The 18,713-nt window shown below is 55.0% G+C and overlaps 2 protein-coding genes and 2 long non-coding RNA genes across 9 annotated transcripts in view, besides 4 other annotated features; 2 read left to right on the top strand and 2 right to left on the bottom strand.

Moving 5' to 3' along the window:
- LOC107984763 (uncharacterized) overlaps positions 1 to 3,053 on the bottom strand; it is a 67,810-nt gene extending 64,757 nt beyond the window's left edge. The window contains exon 1 of the long non-coding RNA XR_001751506.2: positions 2,837 to 3,053. This is a non-coding gene — a long non-coding RNA (uncharacterized LOC107984763). The remainder of the gene's footprint in view (positions 1 to 2,836) is intronic.
- BUB1B-PAK6 (BUB1B-PAK6 readthrough) overlaps positions 1 to 18,713 on the top strand; it is a 60,060-nt gene that overhangs the window by 19,221 nt on the left and 22,126 nt on the right. The window contains exons 2-3 of one of the 2 annotated variants that reach the window (NM_001128628.3): positions 3,951 to 4,033; positions 16,530 to 16,641. The gene's annotated coding sequence lies outside the window, so the exon portion shown is untranslated. The remainder of the gene's footprint in view (positions 1 to 3,950; positions 4,034 to 16,529; positions 16,642 to 18,713) is intronic. The other variant, NM_001128629.3, reaches the window with a different exon arrangement.
- Positions 2,415 to 18,713, top strand: part of PAK6 (p21 (RAC1) activated kinase 6) — a 38,425-nt gene continuing 22,126 nt past the window's right edge. For 3 of the 5 annotated variants that reach the window (NM_001395430.1, NM_001395431.1, NM_001276718.2), the window contains exons 1-3: positions 2,415 to 3,154; positions 3,951 to 4,033; positions 16,530 to 16,641. The gene's annotated coding sequence lies outside the window, so the exon portion shown is untranslated. Of the gene's footprint in view, positions 3,155 to 3,214; positions 3,448 to 3,950; positions 4,034 to 16,529; positions 16,642 to 18,713 lie in introns of those variants that run through there. The other 2 variants (NM_020168.6, NM_001276717.1) reach the window with 2 other exon arrangements.
- Positions 5,676 to 6,175: an enhancer, noted in NCBI's record as "H3K4me1 hESC enhancer chr15:40534525-40535024 (GRCh37/hg19 assembly coordinates)". NCBI's record gives its function as "activates a minimal SCP1, AML or CMV promoter by ChIP-STARR-seq in primed H9 embryonic stem cells {active_cell/tissue: H9 hESC(primed)}" and the evidence as "EXISTENCE:reporter gene assay evidence [ECO:0000049][PMID:30033119]".
- Positions 8,500 to 9,001: an enhancer, noted in NCBI's record as "H3K27ac hESC enhancer chr15:40537349-40537850 (GRCh37/hg19 assembly coordinates)". NCBI's record gives its function as "activates a minimal SCP1, AML or CMV promoter by ChIP-STARR-seq in primed H9 embryonic stem cells {active_cell/tissue: H9 hESC(primed)}" and the evidence as "EXISTENCE:reporter gene assay evidence [ECO:0000049][PMID:30033119]".
- Positions 12,860 to 13,154: a silencer, noted in NCBI's record as "tiled region #12967; HepG2 Repressive non-DNase unmatched - State 20:ReprD, and K562 Repressive DNase matched - State 8:EnhW". NCBI's record gives its function as "represses a minimal TATA promoter and a strong SV40 promoter by Sharpr-MPRA in HepG2 and K562 cells {active_cell/tissue: HepG2 | K562}" and the evidence as "EXISTENCE:reporter gene assay evidence [ECO:0000049][PMID:27701403]".
- Positions 14,016 to 16,311, bottom strand: PAK6-AS1 (PAK6 antisense RNA 1). Its single transcript, NR_168270.1, has 2 exons — positions 16,010 to 16,311; positions 14,016 to 15,891 (listed from the first exon to the last, which is right to left on the bottom strand). It is a non-coding gene; the product is annotated as a PAK6 antisense RNA 1 (long non-coding RNA).
- Positions 16,293 to 16,382: a silencer, noted in NCBI's record as "silent region_6319". NCBI's record gives its function as "represses an Ori minimal core promoter by ATAC-STARR-seq in GM12878 lymphoblastoid cells {active_cell/tissue: GM12878}" and the evidence as "EXISTENCE:reporter gene assay evidence [ECO:0000049][PMID:35858748]".

An 18,713-nucleotide genomic window follows, 5' to 3' on the forward strand; every position in this document is an offset into this window, starting at 1 on the left:
TTGTTTAAATACAACAGTACATGTTCACTGAAACAATGCAAGAGTGTAAAAAGTCCAAAGTGAAAGACCCCTCTCACCACCACTCCTATTTCCAAGGATAACCACATTGACAGTTTGCGGTTTAAACATACAGATATAGAAATATCTTTAAATAAAAAAACTTATATGAGATTATGCCATCTCATTTTCAAGTTAACATTGATAAACCTGGTCTTTTTGCTCAACTATCGTGGTCATCCTTCCTCATACATACGTATGTACATGCATACCGGTACACACATAGCTGGTACATACATACCGACTGACAAAACTCATTCATTTTAAGGCTGCAGATACTTCATTGCATGGGGATGTACCATCCTGTATAGATCTGTCACCCAATTAATCTGCCCAATTGATGCACATTTTGGTGGCTTCAAATTCTTTGCAGTTACAAACAGTGCTACCATGAATATTCTTATACAAATATCTTCAGGCCGATGTGCAACTATTTCTTAACTTGGATTCCTAGAAGTGCATTTGCTGGATCAAGTACATACACATTTTGAAATTTTGGTCAAGACTGTAAAATTGCCCTCCAAGAAGACTGTACCAATTCACTCTCCCACCTGCCATTTTTTTTTCACTGTATAATGACAGGGAGTGGTATATCCCTTTTGTTTTAGTTTGCATTTCCTGGATCATTCCTTAGTGAGACAGAGCAGAAGTGGATTATTTATAAGTTTACACACAAAATTACATTGAGATACAAAAAGAAGAAAAATACAGAGTTCCTCTCCAAAAGGAACTGATAACCTAGTTAAAGGGAAAATGTTTCATATTGACCACAAATTGAACTTTTTTTTTCTTTTGAGACAGAGTCTCGCTCTGTCGCGCAGGCTGAAGTGCAGTGGCACAATCTTGGCTCACTGCAACCTCCGCCTCCCGGGTTCAAGCAATTCTCCTGCCTCAGCCTCCCAAGTAGCTGGGATTACAGGCATGTGCCACCACGCCCAGCTAATTTTTGTATTTTTAGTGGAATGAGGTTTCACCATGTTGGCCAGGCTGGTCTCAATCTCTTGACCTCATGGTCCACCCGCCTCAGCCTCTCAAAGTGCTGGGATTACAGGCGTGAGCCACTGTGCCTGGCCACAAATTGAAATTCTTATGTTTAATGCCATGACATCTAACACTGCGTTCAATCAAAATGTCTACGCATGCAGCTTGAGACCTTTGCACAGAAGGTGCCTAGGGTCATGATTTGGGAAGATTAATCTGCCATCAGTGGAGGGGTGGATAAAAACTAATGTTTATTGGGATCAAGATGAGCAGTCTCTGTGCCAGAAACTTTATTCCTTTAATTTCCACAGCCCTGTGAGGCAGGTGAAATCATCCCCATTTTATGGATGAGGAAATTGAAGTTCAATTGGTTCAATAACATGCCAAAGGTCACTCAACTGATGAACAGTGGAGCTGAGATGCGGAAGACTGAAGACTCACAGCCTGGACTTTTAACCAAACACCACATGGCTTCGCTACAGAAGAAAGTTAGAAAGTTTTCAAAAATAAAATGTAGAGCCAAGTGCCACCTTGGATATAAGGGACTGGGGGACGGGAAGAGGCAAGAACTCCCAGGCTTCCCTCTGGCTGTCAATAGCTAGTGGGTCCTGGCAGTGGGAGCTGGGCCATCAGAGGTGGCGCCTGAAGTGGGGCAGGCACAAAATGGGTTTTCGGGCAAGCATTTGCCCAGGTGATGGTCAAAGCCACAGAAAAAAGGTGTTTTGATGGAGTGGTGGCTGAGTGTGGGGAGAGATGAGCAGGGGACCAAGCCTGGAGCTTGGGCAGCCCACGATTGGACACTAGGAGAAGAAAAGAAGCCAGTGGAGGAGACACTGAGGCTAGGGATGGGGAGGGCACTGTGGAAGGCTGGGCTCCACCTGGCGCTCCGGGGAGCTGGCAGGGGGGCACATCAAGGAGCTCAAGCTGCCTCACCAGCAAATGCCTCTGTTTCTGACCAGGGGCAATGAAATAAAGGGACCCGGTTGAGTAACTGGTTTCTGGTCCCTGCCAGCCCAGGAAGCCAGCACCCACCCTGCCTTACATCCCATGTGCCACTCTCAGCCTTCGAAGCAAAACCAGCTGAGACCAGCACCTGCCAGATCTGAATGCGCAGCTCCAAGTTCTGGGGGGTGGGGGTGGGGGTGAGCCAAGGAGGTCTGGCTTCTCTAGGGCAAGGGTAGGAAGGACAGCAGGGAGGCTCACCCTGAGCCCGGCAGGCAGCCCTTCCTCCTCCTCCCCTTCAGCAAAGAAAGGCAGATAAAAACGTGTTTTTATAAATAGCTCCAGCCCCAGCTGATTTGTAAATTCAGTGGGTTTTTTGTGTCAATGACATCACCTTCCTCCCCATGGCAACCCCCGACGATATCAAAATTGCCAAGCAACGTTGGAGCAGCTCGGCGCCCCAAACGAGCAGGTCGATGCCTGAGGATTTAATGGAGAAATCCCAAAGTGAGCCGGGGCGCGCGGTGGAGGAGGGGCGCGCCGCAGCCGGGGCCGCTGGGCCCTGATGGGCGGGAGCGGGGTGGAGCGGCCTCGCCTGCCAGGCAGCCCTGGGCGCGGGGCTCGGCGGCCACACTCTGGAGACAGCCACGGTCCAGGCAGGTGGGGGAGGGCGCTGCTCCCGTCCTGATGTGCCAGGAGCCGCCAGCAGCCATCCAGGTGACTAAGCCGGCCCACTAGCACTGAGTCACCGCCCGCCTCGAGCTGTTCTTGCTTCTCCTTTGCATCTGATTATTTTGGGAGCTGGAAACTTGGAGCTGCACCTGAGTCCCGCCCCTTCTAGCTCTCCCCTCCCTACCTTGGGCTCCAGGAAGATGGGACTTGCTGTGAGTCTGCTGCCACCCCCTAAAGATATGGAAGACGCTGTGGGGGCCAGAAGTGCCCGGGGGGCTGTGGCAGCAGGCAGAGTGCAATAGCAGATATGGTGGTCAGGCTGCCTGTGTGTGTCCTCTGGAGGTGTTGGGACAGAAGGGCAGTCTTGTCCGAGCTGACTGGAGTCCTCCCGGGCTGGCTCTGAACTCATCTCCCACGGGGATGTTTCGGTAAAGGAGTGGCTTCTGGGGTCGGAGTGGCATTTGGAGAGCGAGGCTGGATTGGCTTAGGCTGGCCTGGGCAGGTAGGTGGCTCTGTGTTGGGTGTGGACCCACGTGTGTGTGAGTGCGAGAGTGTGTAAGCCAGTGTGTGTGCCGTCCCCCTGCTGGGGACAGCAGCTGGGTCCAGCAGAGAGCTGGCTGGGGGCTTGACAGGAGTTTATCCTAACTGATGCTGGGTGGGCGCAGGCCCTGAGATGGGCGTCAGGGAGAGGGGACGCCAGACACACGGCCTGAGCAGGGTGAGGAGCAGCTGCCAGCCCCGGCAGGCCCAGGCCCTGTCTGGGTGCACAGGACAGAGACACAGCAAGATGCCCAGGTAGGAAGCCGTCCGGAGGGGCTGGCCAGGGTGAGAGCCCATCACTGGGGGGCTGGACAGCCCATCAGCTGCCCCTTCATTCTGGCAGGCCTGGGTACCAAGGAAACAGCTTCCTACCAAGAACCATGTCACTCTCTTATGCAGGGCCAGTCAGCACCCATGTGCGTCTCTGCTGAGCTCACAGGGACACATTCAGTGAGAAGGGTGCTGGCCAGGGTACGGCTTCCCCATGATCAGGACCCAGCGGGTGCCACCCTCAAGCCCCTGGTCCCCACAGGGCATGCCCCAGTGTGTGTCAGGAGGAGGGGGGAGGTCCCTTCTCCCCCACACAGCTGGCAGCTTTGCGGGCACCAGTGAGTAAGCTGCCAGAGGGAGGGAGGCTGTGTGCCCACAGTGGCAGGACAATACCAACCAGGAGCCTTCAAGAGAAGAGGCTGGGTGAGAAAAGCACTGAGGTTTTCTTTTCCTTTTTTTTTTTTTTTTTTTTTCTATTTTGCCTGAAGGGAGTGCCGCTTCCTGGGCTAGAGACAAGCACCAGCCTGCAGTGGAGAACGCAGGACCCCGCTGCCCAGAAGGAGCAGCCACGGTAAGGTCCCCACTGCCGCTGCGTGCTCCGGATTCCTGGGCTAGGGACGGGGGTGCCAAGGTGTCCAGGCTGCCTCCCACCTGGGACAGGGAGGCTAACTCCACAGCTGTGGGTTCCTGGGTCAAGGGGCTCCACTCCCCACCCGGCCTGCCACCTTCTTTCCAGATTGATTGTGAAACAGTCCAATCCCAGCTGGTCTCTGGCTCCCTAGCTAGAGGGAGAGGTGCTTGTTTCTACTCTTCCTGCCCCAGCTGGGCCAAGCCAGTGCCACCGGGACACCCCTATCCAAGGCCCCTCTCACTTTACCACCTCTGGGACATTTCCCTTGTGTATTCATTCCACAAATATTTAGGGAGCACTGCTGGGTCCCAGGCTCCAAGTCACACCCTTTGGCTGGGTTTGACCTGGCACAGATTCTGACTCTGAAACTCAGCATCAGGGCAGGTTCAGGGAGCTGCCTGGCCAAGCACGGTCACTCCTCACAGGCCTTGGTCTCCCCACCCCTGCTGCAGGGTGGATGACCTGGTCAGCTTTGGGGACATCGGGCCCAGTGAGCTCGGGTTTATAAAGCACTGGGCCCCACCGGGAAGCAAGGCTAACGTCTTGTGGTCTCCAGTTATCCTTTCCCTGGCATTGTACACCAAGAGGTTTGTGCCGTTCTGCCTGGGGTCTTCCTGAGGCTGGTTCTGGTGGGAACTGGGCTGCAGGAGGAGAGGATGAGCTTAGGAGCCGTGTGGCCCCCAGGCCTGGTGGGCCTGGGACTCAGCCCCACGGGAGCTCATCTAGCTGGGGTTGAGGCCTTTGGGGCAAGCAAGGAGTCCCCTCTGCAGGCAGGCTTCCCTGGCGGTTGTCCTGGCCCAGGCTTGGAGGTGGCACCTGGGAGCCCTAGTGACAGAGCGCCTGGTCAGGGAAGGGTCGGCACCAGAGGCAAGCCCTTCTGGGAGCAGCTGATTTGGATGGAAGCTCTGTGCACCTGAGAGGGGGAGTGTGGGGACTGCACGGCCTCTCCAGTGCCCCGAGGACAAACTGATGCTTTGTGAGTGCTCTGGGCCCTCCCGGACTTGCCAGACACAGGGAGGGTGCAGTGGGTGGGGTCTCCAGCCAAGGAAAGCCCGCTCTGTGCACAACTCCTAAGGATGACCAAAAAGTCCCCTGCCCTGGAGGAGCACATGTGCTCAGAGTCAGGAGGAACCCATAAGTGTCTCTCATGCCAGTGAATTCCCACACCTGGCTCCTGGATGAGGAGAATGACCCAGCTGTGGGGGTATCTCATGCTGCCTCACAAAAGGTGACTCTGTGCCTAGGAGTCTTCCATGCATGCAGAGCTGAGCAGGGGCTGCTGCCCAGTTGGGGTCAGAGGGGCGGAGGCTGTCGAGCACTAGGTAGACAGCAGGCCAGCAGCGGGCAGCAGGTTGGGCCAGGAGGGAGCAGAGAGTAGGGGCCAGGGCAGGCTGAGCAGGAAAGGAAAAGGCTGCCTGGGGTCCTGAGGGCTCAGGGAGGACTCCAGACAGCTGGCCTTCTTATGCCAGCCCGCTTCTGTGGGAGAGGCCCTCTGCGTAGGTGACTGGGCAGGGAAGAGGCTAAGACACTGAAAGATTGAATTCCTCACCCAAATGGCCCAGAGATGCCCACCGCACACAGTGTCCTGGGTGCAGAAGGCAGGAAGGACTCATGGGAGGCTGTCCTGTGGACTGAAGCAGAAAGTCCTTCCCGTAAGATGCGCTCGTCGCCCTGAGCAGGAAGGCCCAGGCTGCGGAAGCAGTGCCTGAGACCTGAGCAGCAGGAAGGACACCAGTAAAGCTCATCAGGAGGCATCTGGCCGCCTGCACCTACCGGGCCTCAAGGAGAGAGCTTATTTCTGGGAGCCTCCTTGGTAGAAAGAGGTGGACTAGCCAGCAGGTTGGGGAGGAGCATTGCAAATGGAAGCTTCTGAGGGCAGAATGAGTTCTGAACTTGCTGAAGCCAAGGCTGGCCCTCCTGCCCAGGGCGAGCAGTCTGCCTGGGCCTGGGAAGTTGTCCCCTTCTGAGGAGGTGCCCTCCACCCCACCAGAGCTCAGCCCTAGGGGCCAGGAAGGGCTAAAGCGAGAAGAGTGAGATGTGAGATAAAGGGGACCGTGTCTCTTCCTGGGAGGGTGTGGGGTCCAGGCAGCACCTTGTTCTGGCGCACAGGCTGCCAAGCAGATGACAGCCATGGCCTGACTACTAGGTGCAAGCACTGGTGGCAGGAAGAGGGGGTGGACAAAGCAGGACAGAGCTCTTGCCCTGGGGATGCTCATAGCCCTGCAGCAGAGCAGTGGAAAGGAAAGCTGAGCTGAGCGTGGGGCCAACCGCGCCAGAAACAAGCGGAGCCACAAAGCCACCATCAGCCCCCAGGTGGCTTCGTCCTTTTGCCAACTCTGGGTCCAACTCATCGCTGAAGTTGGCAGCCATGACCCATCCAGCCCAGATAATTTATAAATTTACACCAATACTGGGCAACGGTTCTTAACATAGAACTTTATAAAGATGGACAAAAAAGATAAGTTGAGAATGACAAACAAAGGAAGAAGCAGCTTCTATCTGCAGTTGCAGGAGGAGGTGAAGGCTCGGGGAGATAGACCAGGGCGGGAAGAGGCAGGATGGTGGTTGGTTAACATGAAGTCAGCAGCATGAGCCTCAGGCCCGGTGCTGCCTCTTCCTGGTGACTCGGGCAAGTTACTTCATGTCTCTGGGTCTCAATTTCCTCTCCTGTCCAACAGAGATAATTATAGTACCTATGAGTTAGGGTTGTTGAGAGGATTAAATAAGATAATAAGTGAATGCTCTGAATGGCATGACTGGCACATACGTACATGTTCAGCAAGAGATAACTATTATCACCGTGATGATAACTGGTGTCAGAGGAACAAAGTGCCAGGAGAGACCATACCTTGTTCGGGGGAATCAGGAAAGGCTTCACGGAGGAGGTGACTTTGAAAGAACCCTCCTCTGAGGAGAAACAAAAGCTCTCAGAATGCCCAGGAAAGCTGGGAAGAAACAATAATGCCAGGTCTATTTTTTTCCCAAATAGCATATTGTTTGTCCACTGAGGCTTTCTAAGGAATAACTTGAGACTCCTCTTTCTGGGGTCTAGACTTGGAGGTCTTGAGGACTTGAAGTGGGCTGCCCCTAGTGAAGGGATCGAGAGCCGGGCTGTGGCCCTGGCCCTACTCCTTTTGGGGACTGGAAGCTTTTTTCACATGCTGGTCCTAACTGCATGAGGAACTGTGTTCTGCTGAGCCCCATCTAAAGCATACACTTGGTGATGTGGCAGGCAGAGGGGCCAGACAAGGCCACGGCAGGCTCCTGGATCACTCTGGCAAGTAGCTTAGAAATGCCTAGTAATCGTGGGCAAGGTGCAGTGGCTCACGCCTGTAATCCCAGCACTTTGGGAGGCTGAGGTAGGCAGATCACAAGATCAAGAGATCCAGACCATCCTGGCCAACATGGTGAACCCCGTCTCTACTAAAAAATACAAAAAATTAGCTGGACGTGGTGGCGCGTGCCTGTAGTCCCAGCTACCCGGGAGGCTGAGGCAGGGGAATCGCTTGAACCCAGGAGGCGGAGGTTGTAGTGAGCTGGGATCGTGCCACTGCACTCCAGCCTGGCCACAGAGCAAGACTCTGTCTCAAAAAAAAAAAAAAAAGGCCAGTAATCGTGAGGTTCCATCTCAGAGACTTTTGTTTTCTCTTTTTTTCTTTTTATTTTTTTTTTTGAGACAGAGTTTCGCTCTTGTTGCCCAGGCTGGAGTGCAGTGGCACGATCTTGGCTCTCTGCAACCTCCGCCTCCCTGGTTCAAGCGATTCTCCTGCCTCAGCCTCCCAAGTAGGTGGGATTACAAGCACCCACCACCATGCCCGGCTGATTTTTGTATTTTTAGTAGAGATGGGGTTTCACTATGTTGGCCAGGCTAGTCTCGAACTCCTGACCTCAGGTGATCCGCCGACCTCAGCCTCCCAAAGTGCTGGGATTACAGATGTGAGCCACCACACCCAGCCTGCTTTTTCTACAAAGGATTATCTGTTCTATGAATTTAGGAAAGGTAATCCTAAAGCTTATTCACCTAAGAAAAACAAGGCAACCCCAGAGCATGACAGGCTTTCTTGGGCTGGGGGAACTCACATGTGAAAAAACAGGTTCCCTCATAACTACATGAGAGGCCGCAACTGCCTCAGCCCCAGCAAAGGGACACCTCTGCTGGCCAGCATTTCCTACAAAACCTCATCACGACACATCAGGCAGGGCAGAGACCCAAGTATTCACATAGGGCCAGTGATGACTTTTTTTGACACCTGTGGATTCTCCGTGGCAACCTATTCCCCAAAAGTGCTGCCTCGGTCAGCCAATCCCAGTGTCTCTCTGCCTAGGCAACAATCTCTTGTGCTCTGGTCTGCCCACAGCCTCCATGCACTCAGCTCTTTGGGCCTCTTGCTAAGGGGCTGGAAGCAGAGCTGTGTCCTTCAGGCTGTCAAGGACCTGGTGAGGGATCCTCTGGGTGTCCAGGGAAGCAGGTTCAGAAAGCTCAGTTCAGCTGGTGCTGTATTTTGATCTCTGATCCCAGTGCAGCGGGGACCAGCCTACTCAACTCAGTGCAGATAGCAACAAACCAGTCACCTTGCCCAAGACCTCCTGCTGCCTGCCTGCCTGCCTGGTGACCAGGACTCCTAAAGGCTGCAGCAGCAGCAGCAGAGTTAAAACTTTAAAACCGGGAGGACTGGTTCTGTGGCTCAGCTTCCTGGCCTGGAGAGGCTCTAGCCTCCATTTTCTTTCTTTCAGCTTATGGAATTGTGCAAGAAAGCACAGAGGGTGGAGGGAGCGAGGGGACCAGTTATGCCACAGCCTCCTGCACCACCAGAGCACAGTCTCAGATCAGCAAAGAGGAGCTCTGAGGAGGAAAAGGCTGCCCCAGGAAAGAGCTGGCCATCTCAGATTGCTGTAGCACATTCAAGCCAAAGGGAGTCCCCGGAGGATGTTTCGTCCAGCCCCCATAATTTTAGAGCGGGAAACAGAGGTCCAGAGAAGGAAAGTGGGTCCTGAGGCCACACAGCTAACTAATGGCAGAGTCAGTTTCCAGCCCAGGGATCCCCAGCTGCCTGCCCAGCACTCTTGCTACCCAGGCTGAACCCCCACCCCCGTGCTACCAAGGGGCCCATGCAGGAGCAGGCAGCAGCCACTGGGTAACTTGATGGCTTGGGAGAGGCGGCCTGGCCTGACACATTGGGAGGCTGGGCAGGTCCCCGCTTTGCTCCTATTGTGCTATTTGGGTGCCTCCTGCCATCCCCCTGCATTCTGCTAGACCTGAAACCACAGCCCAGCCCACGCTTGTCAGTCAAGTGCTTCCCGAGGATAAACTTTGCACACAGCACCCAGGCCACTCTTGGGGACCAGGCCACTCTCTGTTGAAGAGATCTAACTAATTTATAAATTGATTGATTGAAGTTCTTTTTGTCCCAGGTAACTTCATGTCTTAGGCCAAAGAAGGGAGTCATGATGAGTGCCAGAGATGAAACGGAGATTCTGGGGCAAAGGGTAGGGGAGGCACCTGGGAGGCCCTGTTCTTCAGGTGATCTTCTCATTAGTGTAGACTTTTGACCCCAGGCAGACATTTACATGTCCAATAGCCACCATCAGAGGTCAGTTCCCAGAAGCAGGAGGCCTGTCACTTGCCACCGGTCACCAGGCCCAAGCTAGACAAGAAGACTTTTTCTATTCCACTAGAGTGGATCTTGCTGATGATGTGTCTGGGATCCAGAAAGGTGGGGAGAAGTAGAGGTCTCAGCTCCTGGGGAGGGATGGAGCCAGCCCCGGGGGAAGAATGCAAGGCCGCCAGTGAGCAGGCATTCAGGGCTCCTGTCGAGGAGAGGGTGGTCAGGACAGGAGGAGGGGCTGCCTCATGGATGATGAGGTCCATCATCCTAGCAGAGGCTGTTGTACCAGCCACTGACGAGGGTGTGGCAGTGGTGTTACCAGAACCCTGCTATGTCAGCGTTCAAATACATGTCCCAGCAGGCCAACCACCCCTGCAGCAGTCAAGGGGTTCTGTCCGGTGTGTGCCAGAATGCTAGGGAAGAGAGGACCCTGAGAAGGATGGCAGCATGGCACAGACACGCCATGTGGCAGTTAGACAGGTCATGCCTTCTGACCCAGGGCACATGCAGAGGTCCACAGACTCTGAGGCCAGCTAGTTAGTGTTCCCAGGGGGCTGCACAGCCCAGAGCCTGTGAGTTTTGTGCATCTGGAGCTAAGGTGTTCTGCCCAAAGTGTTGGAGGTGGGCCTCAGGCAACAAATACCCTGCTTCCTCACATCCCCTTTTCTTCCTTGGAGCTTGGGCCTGGGCCCTCACCTAGTCAGGCACAGGCCTCCACTCCCCCACACTCACCTGTCCTTCCTGAAAGTCAGCCACTGGGCTCCACGCAGGGGTGTCACAGTCAGAGCCCTGCTCCAGCCTCAGACCTGGGGCAGTCACTGGAAACTCAGAAGAGAGAAGACAAGACAATGAAAGTTTCCCATTCAAGGAGGCATCCAGCTGTTAGTTCTGCCAGCAAAAATGCCAGCCAGAGAGCTAAACTGCCAGCAAAAGATATTTGGATGGAACTTTGGAGGCCATTAAGAGCAGGCACTGCAAAGCAATTGTAGCGAAAAGATATTAAATGAATCCATCACGTCTCTAAAATGAGTGTCCTTACCACAGATCTGGCTCTTGCTGTTCCCCAGCCCTTCCCAGGGTAGCCCAGGATGCACCTGGGACGGGCGCCGCAGCCTGCAATGGTCCCTGCATCTGAGGAGCTCCTCCCAGGTCACCAGGCTCCTTGGGACTGTCAGGCAGGTTTAGCCCCCAGTGTCAGCTTGTGTTTGGGGAGGATGGTTTTATATATTCTCGTTGGCACAGGAAGCCTAGTACAGATGCAGAACCTGAGGGAAAGGCAGGCAGAGAGAGAGAGGCTCGAGGTTCTGCTGAGGCCCAGGGTATCAGCAGGGCACATCTGTACAGCAGCCGGGCGGGGACCCATGGACTTTTCCAAAACACCTAACCAGGCCCTAGACAGTGCTACCCCCTGGCGCTGGGCTCTCTTTCCGGAACCCGGGGTGAACAGACCTGTTGGGTTGATTTAGTAGCAAGTGGTAGCCTTGTTTTCTGGACGAATCCTGGGATTCTACTCCATGGCACATCAAACCAAGCTCCAGTGTGCATGCCCAGGGTCGGGGAGGGGAGCTTTCTCCTTGGTCCCTTCTGCAGCTGTGAGGGCTGAGGGTTAAGAACCTTTCACCCCGTTTGGGGGTGCTGCTCCTCCATAGCCCTGTACCCCAATGCTCTAGACTTCATTATTCCACCACCTTCCCCAGGGCGGGAGGTACTCTTTCCATTACATGCATCAGGAAACTGAGGCCAGAGACATGCTGTAAGTCTTGCGAGGCAAGAGGGCTCCCGTCCGCAGGACTCCATGGCTCTGCAGCTAGACTCCGTCAACTTCCCTCCTGCCTGGGGACCCCAAGGGCCTGGCAGTGTCAGCTCCCTCGGCTCACACTTCCAGATGCTCGGAGGTTCAGAGGTTTGCACCTCCCTCTTGGTCCCATCAGCAGAGAGAGATGGGTGGTCCCATCAGGGTGAGGAGCAGGAAGAAGCAGGTGCTGGACAGCCTGGAGGAGAGGGGGAGGAAGGGATTTTCTCCCAAGAGTGCCTCTCTCCCAGGCTTCGGGCTCCAGGGTGAGTGGGCAGCGACCCCTCTAGGAGCCCCAGCTCCACAGGGCTCCTCCTGCCAAGCATCCAGCACACGTGCCCCCACCTCCCCGGCAGGTCCTGCTTGAGGGCCTGAGGCGACTGGGCCATCTGGGTCTGTGAAGGGCAGATGTGGGATGCAGGAACTTCAGGCAGGGTGCTGGCTTGTGGCCAGGAAAGCCTAGCACCTGATTCCTAGCAGGGAACTCAGTGACAGAGTGGGGGAACCTGAGGGCCCCTCTGCCCCTCACACCCAGTGCCATGTGGGGGTCCTCGCGTGTTACACAGAAATAGGAAGGGACGGTCCTCCTACCCGCACCCCAGCCCTCTTGTGTCTCACGTGACAGCCTGCCTGGGCAGTGATTTTTTTAAAACACAAATGCCTTATATTAAGGTCTGAGTTGGTCTCTCCCCACTGCCCGTTCAAACATTCCATGGCACCAGCAGCCTCTAAGCAGCAGAGTTGAGAGAACCAGCTTTGGGGTCGGATACACTTCCGTTCAAATTCCAGCTCCTCCCCTCAGTAACTGGCTTACTTAGTCTTTCTGGACTGGATAACAAAATACTATGGACTGGTGGCTTATAAACAACAGAAATTTATTTCTCACAGTTCTGGAAGCTGAGAAGCCCAAGAGCAAGGTGCTGGCAGATCCGGTGTCTGGTGAGGGCCTGCTTCCAGGTTCAGAGCTGGCTGTCTTTTTGCTATAACCTCACATGATGGAAAGGGCCAGGGATCTCTCTGGGGGCCTCTTTCATAAAGGCATGAATCCCATTCATGAGGGCTCTGCTTTCGTGACTTAATCACCTGCCAACAACCCCGCCTCCTAATACCCTCATATTAGTGATTAGGTTTCAACAGATGAATCTTGGGGGACATAGGTTTCAACAGATGAATCTTGGGGGGACACAAACATTCAGTCTATAGCAGTAATTATGAGACCTTCATCTGTTCTTTAACCACTCCGAGCCTCAGTTTCCTCATTTGTAAAATGCGAATAATAATTGTACAGGACTTCCATCCCAGGGTTCTTGTGAAGACTAAGGGAGGTAGCACAGGTACATAGCTTTGTACGGGGCCTGGCCCACGGGAAGCATGCCATCATTGGCAGCCATTACTATTTCTATTATTAGGGGAGGGCTGAGTCGCCCAGAGGAAGGAGTCTGAACGGAGTAAAAGAGCTTGTTAGTCGCCTTCCTCATCCCCAGAAAACTTTTCAAGTCATGGAGCAGAAAGATGCAGGGAAGGGATAATGTGTTTGTCTTTCTAAACCACAAGCTGATCCCTATCTTTCCTCTTTGGCCCTAGCCCGAGCACTCAGCCCTGGCTGTTGGCACTCAGATGTTACAACAGGCCCCGACAGCCACAGGCTGAGGGATAACCGGGAAGTGCCTGCCCCACCCGATGTGCCCACCTTGCTGCCCTCCCAGACCATACTGGCCTGCCAATGCCTCTGAGATGGCACCACTCCAAGAGCCATGTCCCCCTGTGAAATGTCTGTTTTGGGTGTCTCTTCCAGAGATCCTACCCAATTTGTAGAATGGGAGTGCCTGGACAATTCCTTCAACCAGAAGGTCTGTGCCAGCAGCCAAGGCTCCTCAAAGGAGGATGTGCCTGGAGCCCCCTGTGCTCAGCACGGCAACCTGGGAACAAGGCCAGAGGGTGGCACATGGATGCTGCAGGAGACACTGTCCCCAGACTGCTCCTGACACTTCCTGTGCTGTTGTTCTGCCCTTTCCTCCTGGGCAGGGCTGAGCTGGGCACGGATCAGAGGAGAATAGAGAAGGGGGAGAGTCACACACAGGAATTAATCACTCAGGACCTACCCTGAATGGATGATTCAGTGTGTATCCCCAGCTGTCTCAATGTGTGGGGAGAGGGGTGGCAACGGGGCGGATCGTGCAACCCGGTGCAGCTGAACCTCATGTAGACGAGACTGGAAGTGCAGAAAACTGGCGTTGTGATGGACCTGAGGGATTCCCTAGTCTAGTCTTGTATCCAGTTCTCTGGCCTACCCAACTGACGGTTATTCTTGAATACCTCCAGTGATGGGGGACTCATTACCTCCTTGGTCAGTCTAACTTGACCTTCTGCCTCTCTCAAGGCCCCAAACCCACTGTAGCTCCCAAGGGGTGGGAGGAACCCAGGGTTTCCTAGAGTTATTCTCTATAGGGTGAGGATGGGACTTGGCTAGTCGCCATTCTAGGGTACCTAAGCCTGGATTCAAACCAAATTGAATACCAGTTCATTTCTGGTAATAATCTAACATTCATACTTTATTGTAGTTCTGTTCAAAAGTACTGCTTGGAGCTGTGATTTGGGTATATAAGGCATTTGTAGTCAAAGAAAATAATTCACATATGCATTCATGAATCAGTAAAAATAATTTAGGGTGTCGATTCTAGGTTAGACAATATAATGCTTTCATTCTAGCTTTGGTTCATGGTTCATTTCAAATCCTCAGCAACCAATCTCTGCCACCTCCACGCAGCACATTCTGCTTCTGCAGCCAGCATTCGACCAGTGTACCCATGTCCTTGGGTAACGAATCTGTGGGGGGAGCCATTCTGGTATCACCTGGTCCCCCTCCCACTGCCCCCTCATCCAAGGCCTAGCAGTCAGCTTCCTGGGTGACCACAGGAGGTCAGAGTTTGTCTAAGCGGGTCAGGCCTACAGTATTGTCCACTCAGAGGAAAGAGAAAGAATCCGCGTGGGAAAGACACAAAGAGGAGGAGGAGGAGGCGACAGAGTAAGGGGAGGAGAACAGAAACTAAATATAAATATGTGTTGGGGATGTTGGGGATGGCAGCAGGGTATGGTTAGCTGGCTGGCTCCCACACCACTGTCCCACAGCACAGAGGGCCAGCATCTGCACCTGGCACCATGCTTTCCCTAGGAAAGCCGAGGGCATTGGGCTTGTGGTGCAGCCACACAGGGTACAGACCTGTTTGGGACTGTCAGGTTCCCACGGGTTGCCTGAGCTCTATTAGGTGGGCGCCTTAGAGTAAATTGTGTGAAACCAATACAGCCTATAATGCAAAAGATTGAGCCGTGAGTAGATTGATGCGTCTAAAGAATCAGTGAACAAAAATAAGTGGCCATAGTGACCTCAGTTAATCATTGAAGTCTGAGGTGCCCAACAATGATTTTTAAAATCCCTGCACTGTCCTTGGTCCCCGCTCTGTGACACTGGCAGTCACCCAGCCACCACTTGACGGCAGCCATTTGGAGTCCACATGTACTGAGTTTCCAAGCCAGAACTTCCTCAGCACTCAGCCAGAACACAGCCTTTCTCTGGGGGCCCAAGACAAGGAGAGCAAAGGTCTTCTCACTTCTTTATCTGGGGAAGAGATGAGTGATTCCTGTCCCTTCCCCCAGTATAGAAAACACCCTGTACCCCAAAAGAAACATGGCACAGGGGCAGCCAGGAGTGAGCCCCTTGGAATGGCCATTCTGATCTTAGGCAGGGACTGCTGAGGACAAGCAGAGGATGCCGACTCTGGGACAAAATCACAGGCGGAGGGGCTCCGAAACAGGCCCTAGCCGCTCTGGGGGTGCGGGTCTCCTGCCCTAGGACTCTCAGGCTAGAAAGTCCTCAGGACTCAGGACTGCGCAAGGGCTGACAAGGGAACTGGAATCCCTTAAATCCCGCTTTCCTGCCTGCGCAAGGGGCTACCCCAGCACAGTCTTGGGGCCCTGTCCACATGGGACAGATCATCCAAGGTGACAGGTTTTCCGACTCCCGCGTGGGCTCTCCAGGATGTGTGGGTGGGCACACGCGGCCCGCTCAGGTCCGGGAGAGTCGGCCCGCGGCTCTGGAGCGTGCATCTGCGATGCCAGTGAACGAGGTGATTACACACAGCCGGCGCTCAGCTGATTCTCCAGGTCGGGTCTCCGCGAGGCGGCCACTGGGCCGTGGAGCCGCAGGCAGGTCCCCGCGGCTGTGGCCAGGCCAGGGCCCGGAGGCGAAGGGCGGGCGGGAACTGGGGCCAAGCAGGTGGAGAGAAAGAGTTGAGCAGCACGGCGCCCCTCGGGCAGAGGGGCTCCTGGCCAAGGCCCCAGCGACACTTGGCAACTTCTCCCGCGCTCTGGGTTCGCCGCCGCGTCCTACCTGAGGCCACACCCTGAAATCAAAATCGCGGTCAGGTGAAGCCGGCGCTGCACCAACGTGTAAGCGCGGCCCCTCCTCGGCGTTCCCGCGCCGAGGTCCCTCCCGCGGAGGGCGGGCCCGGCTCCCACGACCTCTTCGAGCGTTCCTGGGCTTCCCGCTCCGCAGGTGGGTTCCCCGGCTGCCCCGGAGGTTCGCGGCGAGAGGACGGGCCTCCCAACACGCGCAGCCCCCTTCCTGGGTGCCCATGCCCCGAAGTTCGGGACCAGCCGGCGCCAGGCGAGGGGCCTTGGGCGCAGGCATCTGGAGCTCCGCGTCCCTGGAGCGGGACCTCCCTCCGCGGGCGCCCGCCCGGCGCGGGGCATTCGCGTCCCCGAGAGGGCGCAGCAGTGGGGCCTGCGAGCTGGGGCCGGGTGGCCGCGCCGGGTCGGAGTGTGGCTGGAGAGGGGCCGCCCCGGAAGCGGTGCTGCGCCCAACGTCCCCTTCTCCCCGTAAGCCCCGCAAGGAGCCTGCCGCCTCTTGCACCTGAGCCAGGAGTTCAGTCGGGAGGCGGGCGCGGAGCGGTTCCCAGCGCCTGGACGTCAGCCAGTCGCAACACCCGCGGGAACACTTGCTACATTTGCCATAATGCATTTCTGATCTGTTTCCGCGCAGGCCTGCGGAGGACTGGCCCAGCAAGGTCCCAGGTCTTCCCTCTCCTCAGCGCCTAAGAGAGAGGCCCAGTGCGGGTGAGGAGTCGCGAGGAAGAGGCGGAAGGCGCCGGAAGGTGAGTGAGCGAGCGGCCCCCGGCCCTAGAGCCTTCTGCACCCATTTTGAAGAGCAGGCAGGGAGGGACAGTGGGCAGGCAGGTGGCCCTCCTGGGCTGGCTCCTTCCTGGTACTGCTAGGCAGCGGAGGTGGTCCCTTCCAGGTGCCGTCTCTCGATCCTTAGTGGGTGCATGTTAAGTCACTTACACCACTTTGCCCCATGGCCCCACGGTAGGCTGGTAGACGTCAAGACCTCAAATGGCCCGCCCTGCCCCCGGGCCCATCTTCAGGTCTGATGCCTGTCCTGGGTGAGGGTGTCACCGCGGCAGAGTGCAGGGAATTCATGCCGGGGAAGAGGTTCCCAAACAGGAAGGGTGGTGGCAGGCCCAGTGGCTGTGCAGGGCAGGGTGGGAGGCAGCCGTGGGAGACTCCCGCAGGAGTTACAGGTGAAGCTGCCGCTCCACACATCCCAGCCCACCGCTCATTCCCCAGATCTCCAGACCTGCTCAGGTGGCATCCGATCTGGAGTGTAGGTGCTGCTGGGAGCACTGGAGGCTAAGCCATGAAGAGCTCCCAGGGTGTAGGTTGCGTTTTCTGTATCTTGCCCCATTCTGGTGGTTTTTTGGGGGCTTTTCTGACTTGTTTTTCTGGGTGAAGGGGGCAGAGGGGCTCAGGTCTGTGTCCATGCTCGTTTTTGGTGGCCGGTGTGGCATAGGTTGCCGCATTGGATAAGAAAACGCCTGGTTCCATGCAAGGTGAGGTTCAGCCTGCAGTGCCATGAATTCTCCTCCATAGTATATAGGACAGTGGCCGAAGACACATTTGGAACCGAAGAGAGTGGGGTTTGAATCTATCCAGACTTTGCCTTTGACTCCTTAGACAAGTTGCTTCACTTCTCTACAAACTTATAAATGGCCTCATCTGTAAAATGGGAATGCGAATGCCTTCCTCCTCATTAGGCGGTTGTGGGGAGTAACTGCCTCATCAGCCTCCAGCTGCTATGTTGGGAAGGGCTAAGCCACTCCAAGTTCTCCCATCCTGGAGAGCTTTGAGGGCAGTCTGGCTGTTTGGCAAGCTATTGTCAGAGGGTATTAGAGCAAAGCAATAGGAATAAAGTAAAGGTAGGGGTCCTTGGAGGGCGAGTAGTGAGAGACCCTAATTCAGGGTCTCTGGACCTCGTGGTGACCCAGGGAAGGGGCCATTCCTGGAAGAGGATCTGGCTTGGGCATCAGAAACAGCAGCGCCCCCTGCACATCACACATGTTCATGTGTTCATGGGTGACCCTGGAACCTCAACTGTTGCCTGGGATAGAGGGAGCCTCTGGCTTGAGCTTCCAGTCCCATCTCTGTTCTGCATAGCTGTGTGATCCAGAGCAGGTCACTTGACTTCTCTGGGCACTGGGCATTGTGGATGAGCCTGGAGTTTGGAGTCGGAGAGATCTGACTTTGAATCCCAGCTCCACACTTACTGTCTTGGACAATTACTTCTCTCTGAGCCTCAGTTTCTTCATCTGTAAAACAGAGCTCGCAGTAGCTACAATTAGCCATTAGATGTACTAATAAAAAGCACCTAGCACAGTCTATCCATGTGGTGGGCACTTTATAAGCATACCTTTCTTTTCTTGCCTCCTCCTTCTCTCTCCAGCTCCCTGCTGTCTTTAAAATGGGCCCAGGAAAGCAGGTTCAGCCCAACTCACAATGGTGTTGTGAGTGTAAAGTTGTGAGTGTTAAGGAGGTGAAATAGAGGTCTGGAAAGTTAAGAGCTGTAGAAAAAAAGGCAATCTTGTGATTAGGGATGCCAGAGGTTCCTTCTGCTTAGCATAGGGTTCCAATGCCAGAGGTTCCAATGCTTAGCATAGGGTCCTAGCTAGGCATTGAGGACCCTATGCTAAGGACTCAGACCTCTGTGTGCAGAGGCTGTTGAGAATCTAGGGTAGGCCGGGCGCGGTGGCTCACGCCTGTTGACACAAGTGACTGAATGAGCTGTATTACTGTATTCTTTTAAACAGCAGCCCATTATCTCTCCCCTGGGGATTCACTGGGGCCAGTGGTATGGGAATAGTGACAAAGGCAGAGAGCCCAAACATTTTGG

Source organism: Homo sapiens, chromosome 15 (assembly GCF_000001405.40).
Source record: "Homo sapiens chromosome 15, GRCh38.p14 Primary Assembly".
In the NCBI taxonomy this organism is placed as follows: Eukaryota; Metazoa; Chordata; class Mammalia; order Primates; family Hominidae; genus Homo; species Homo sapiens.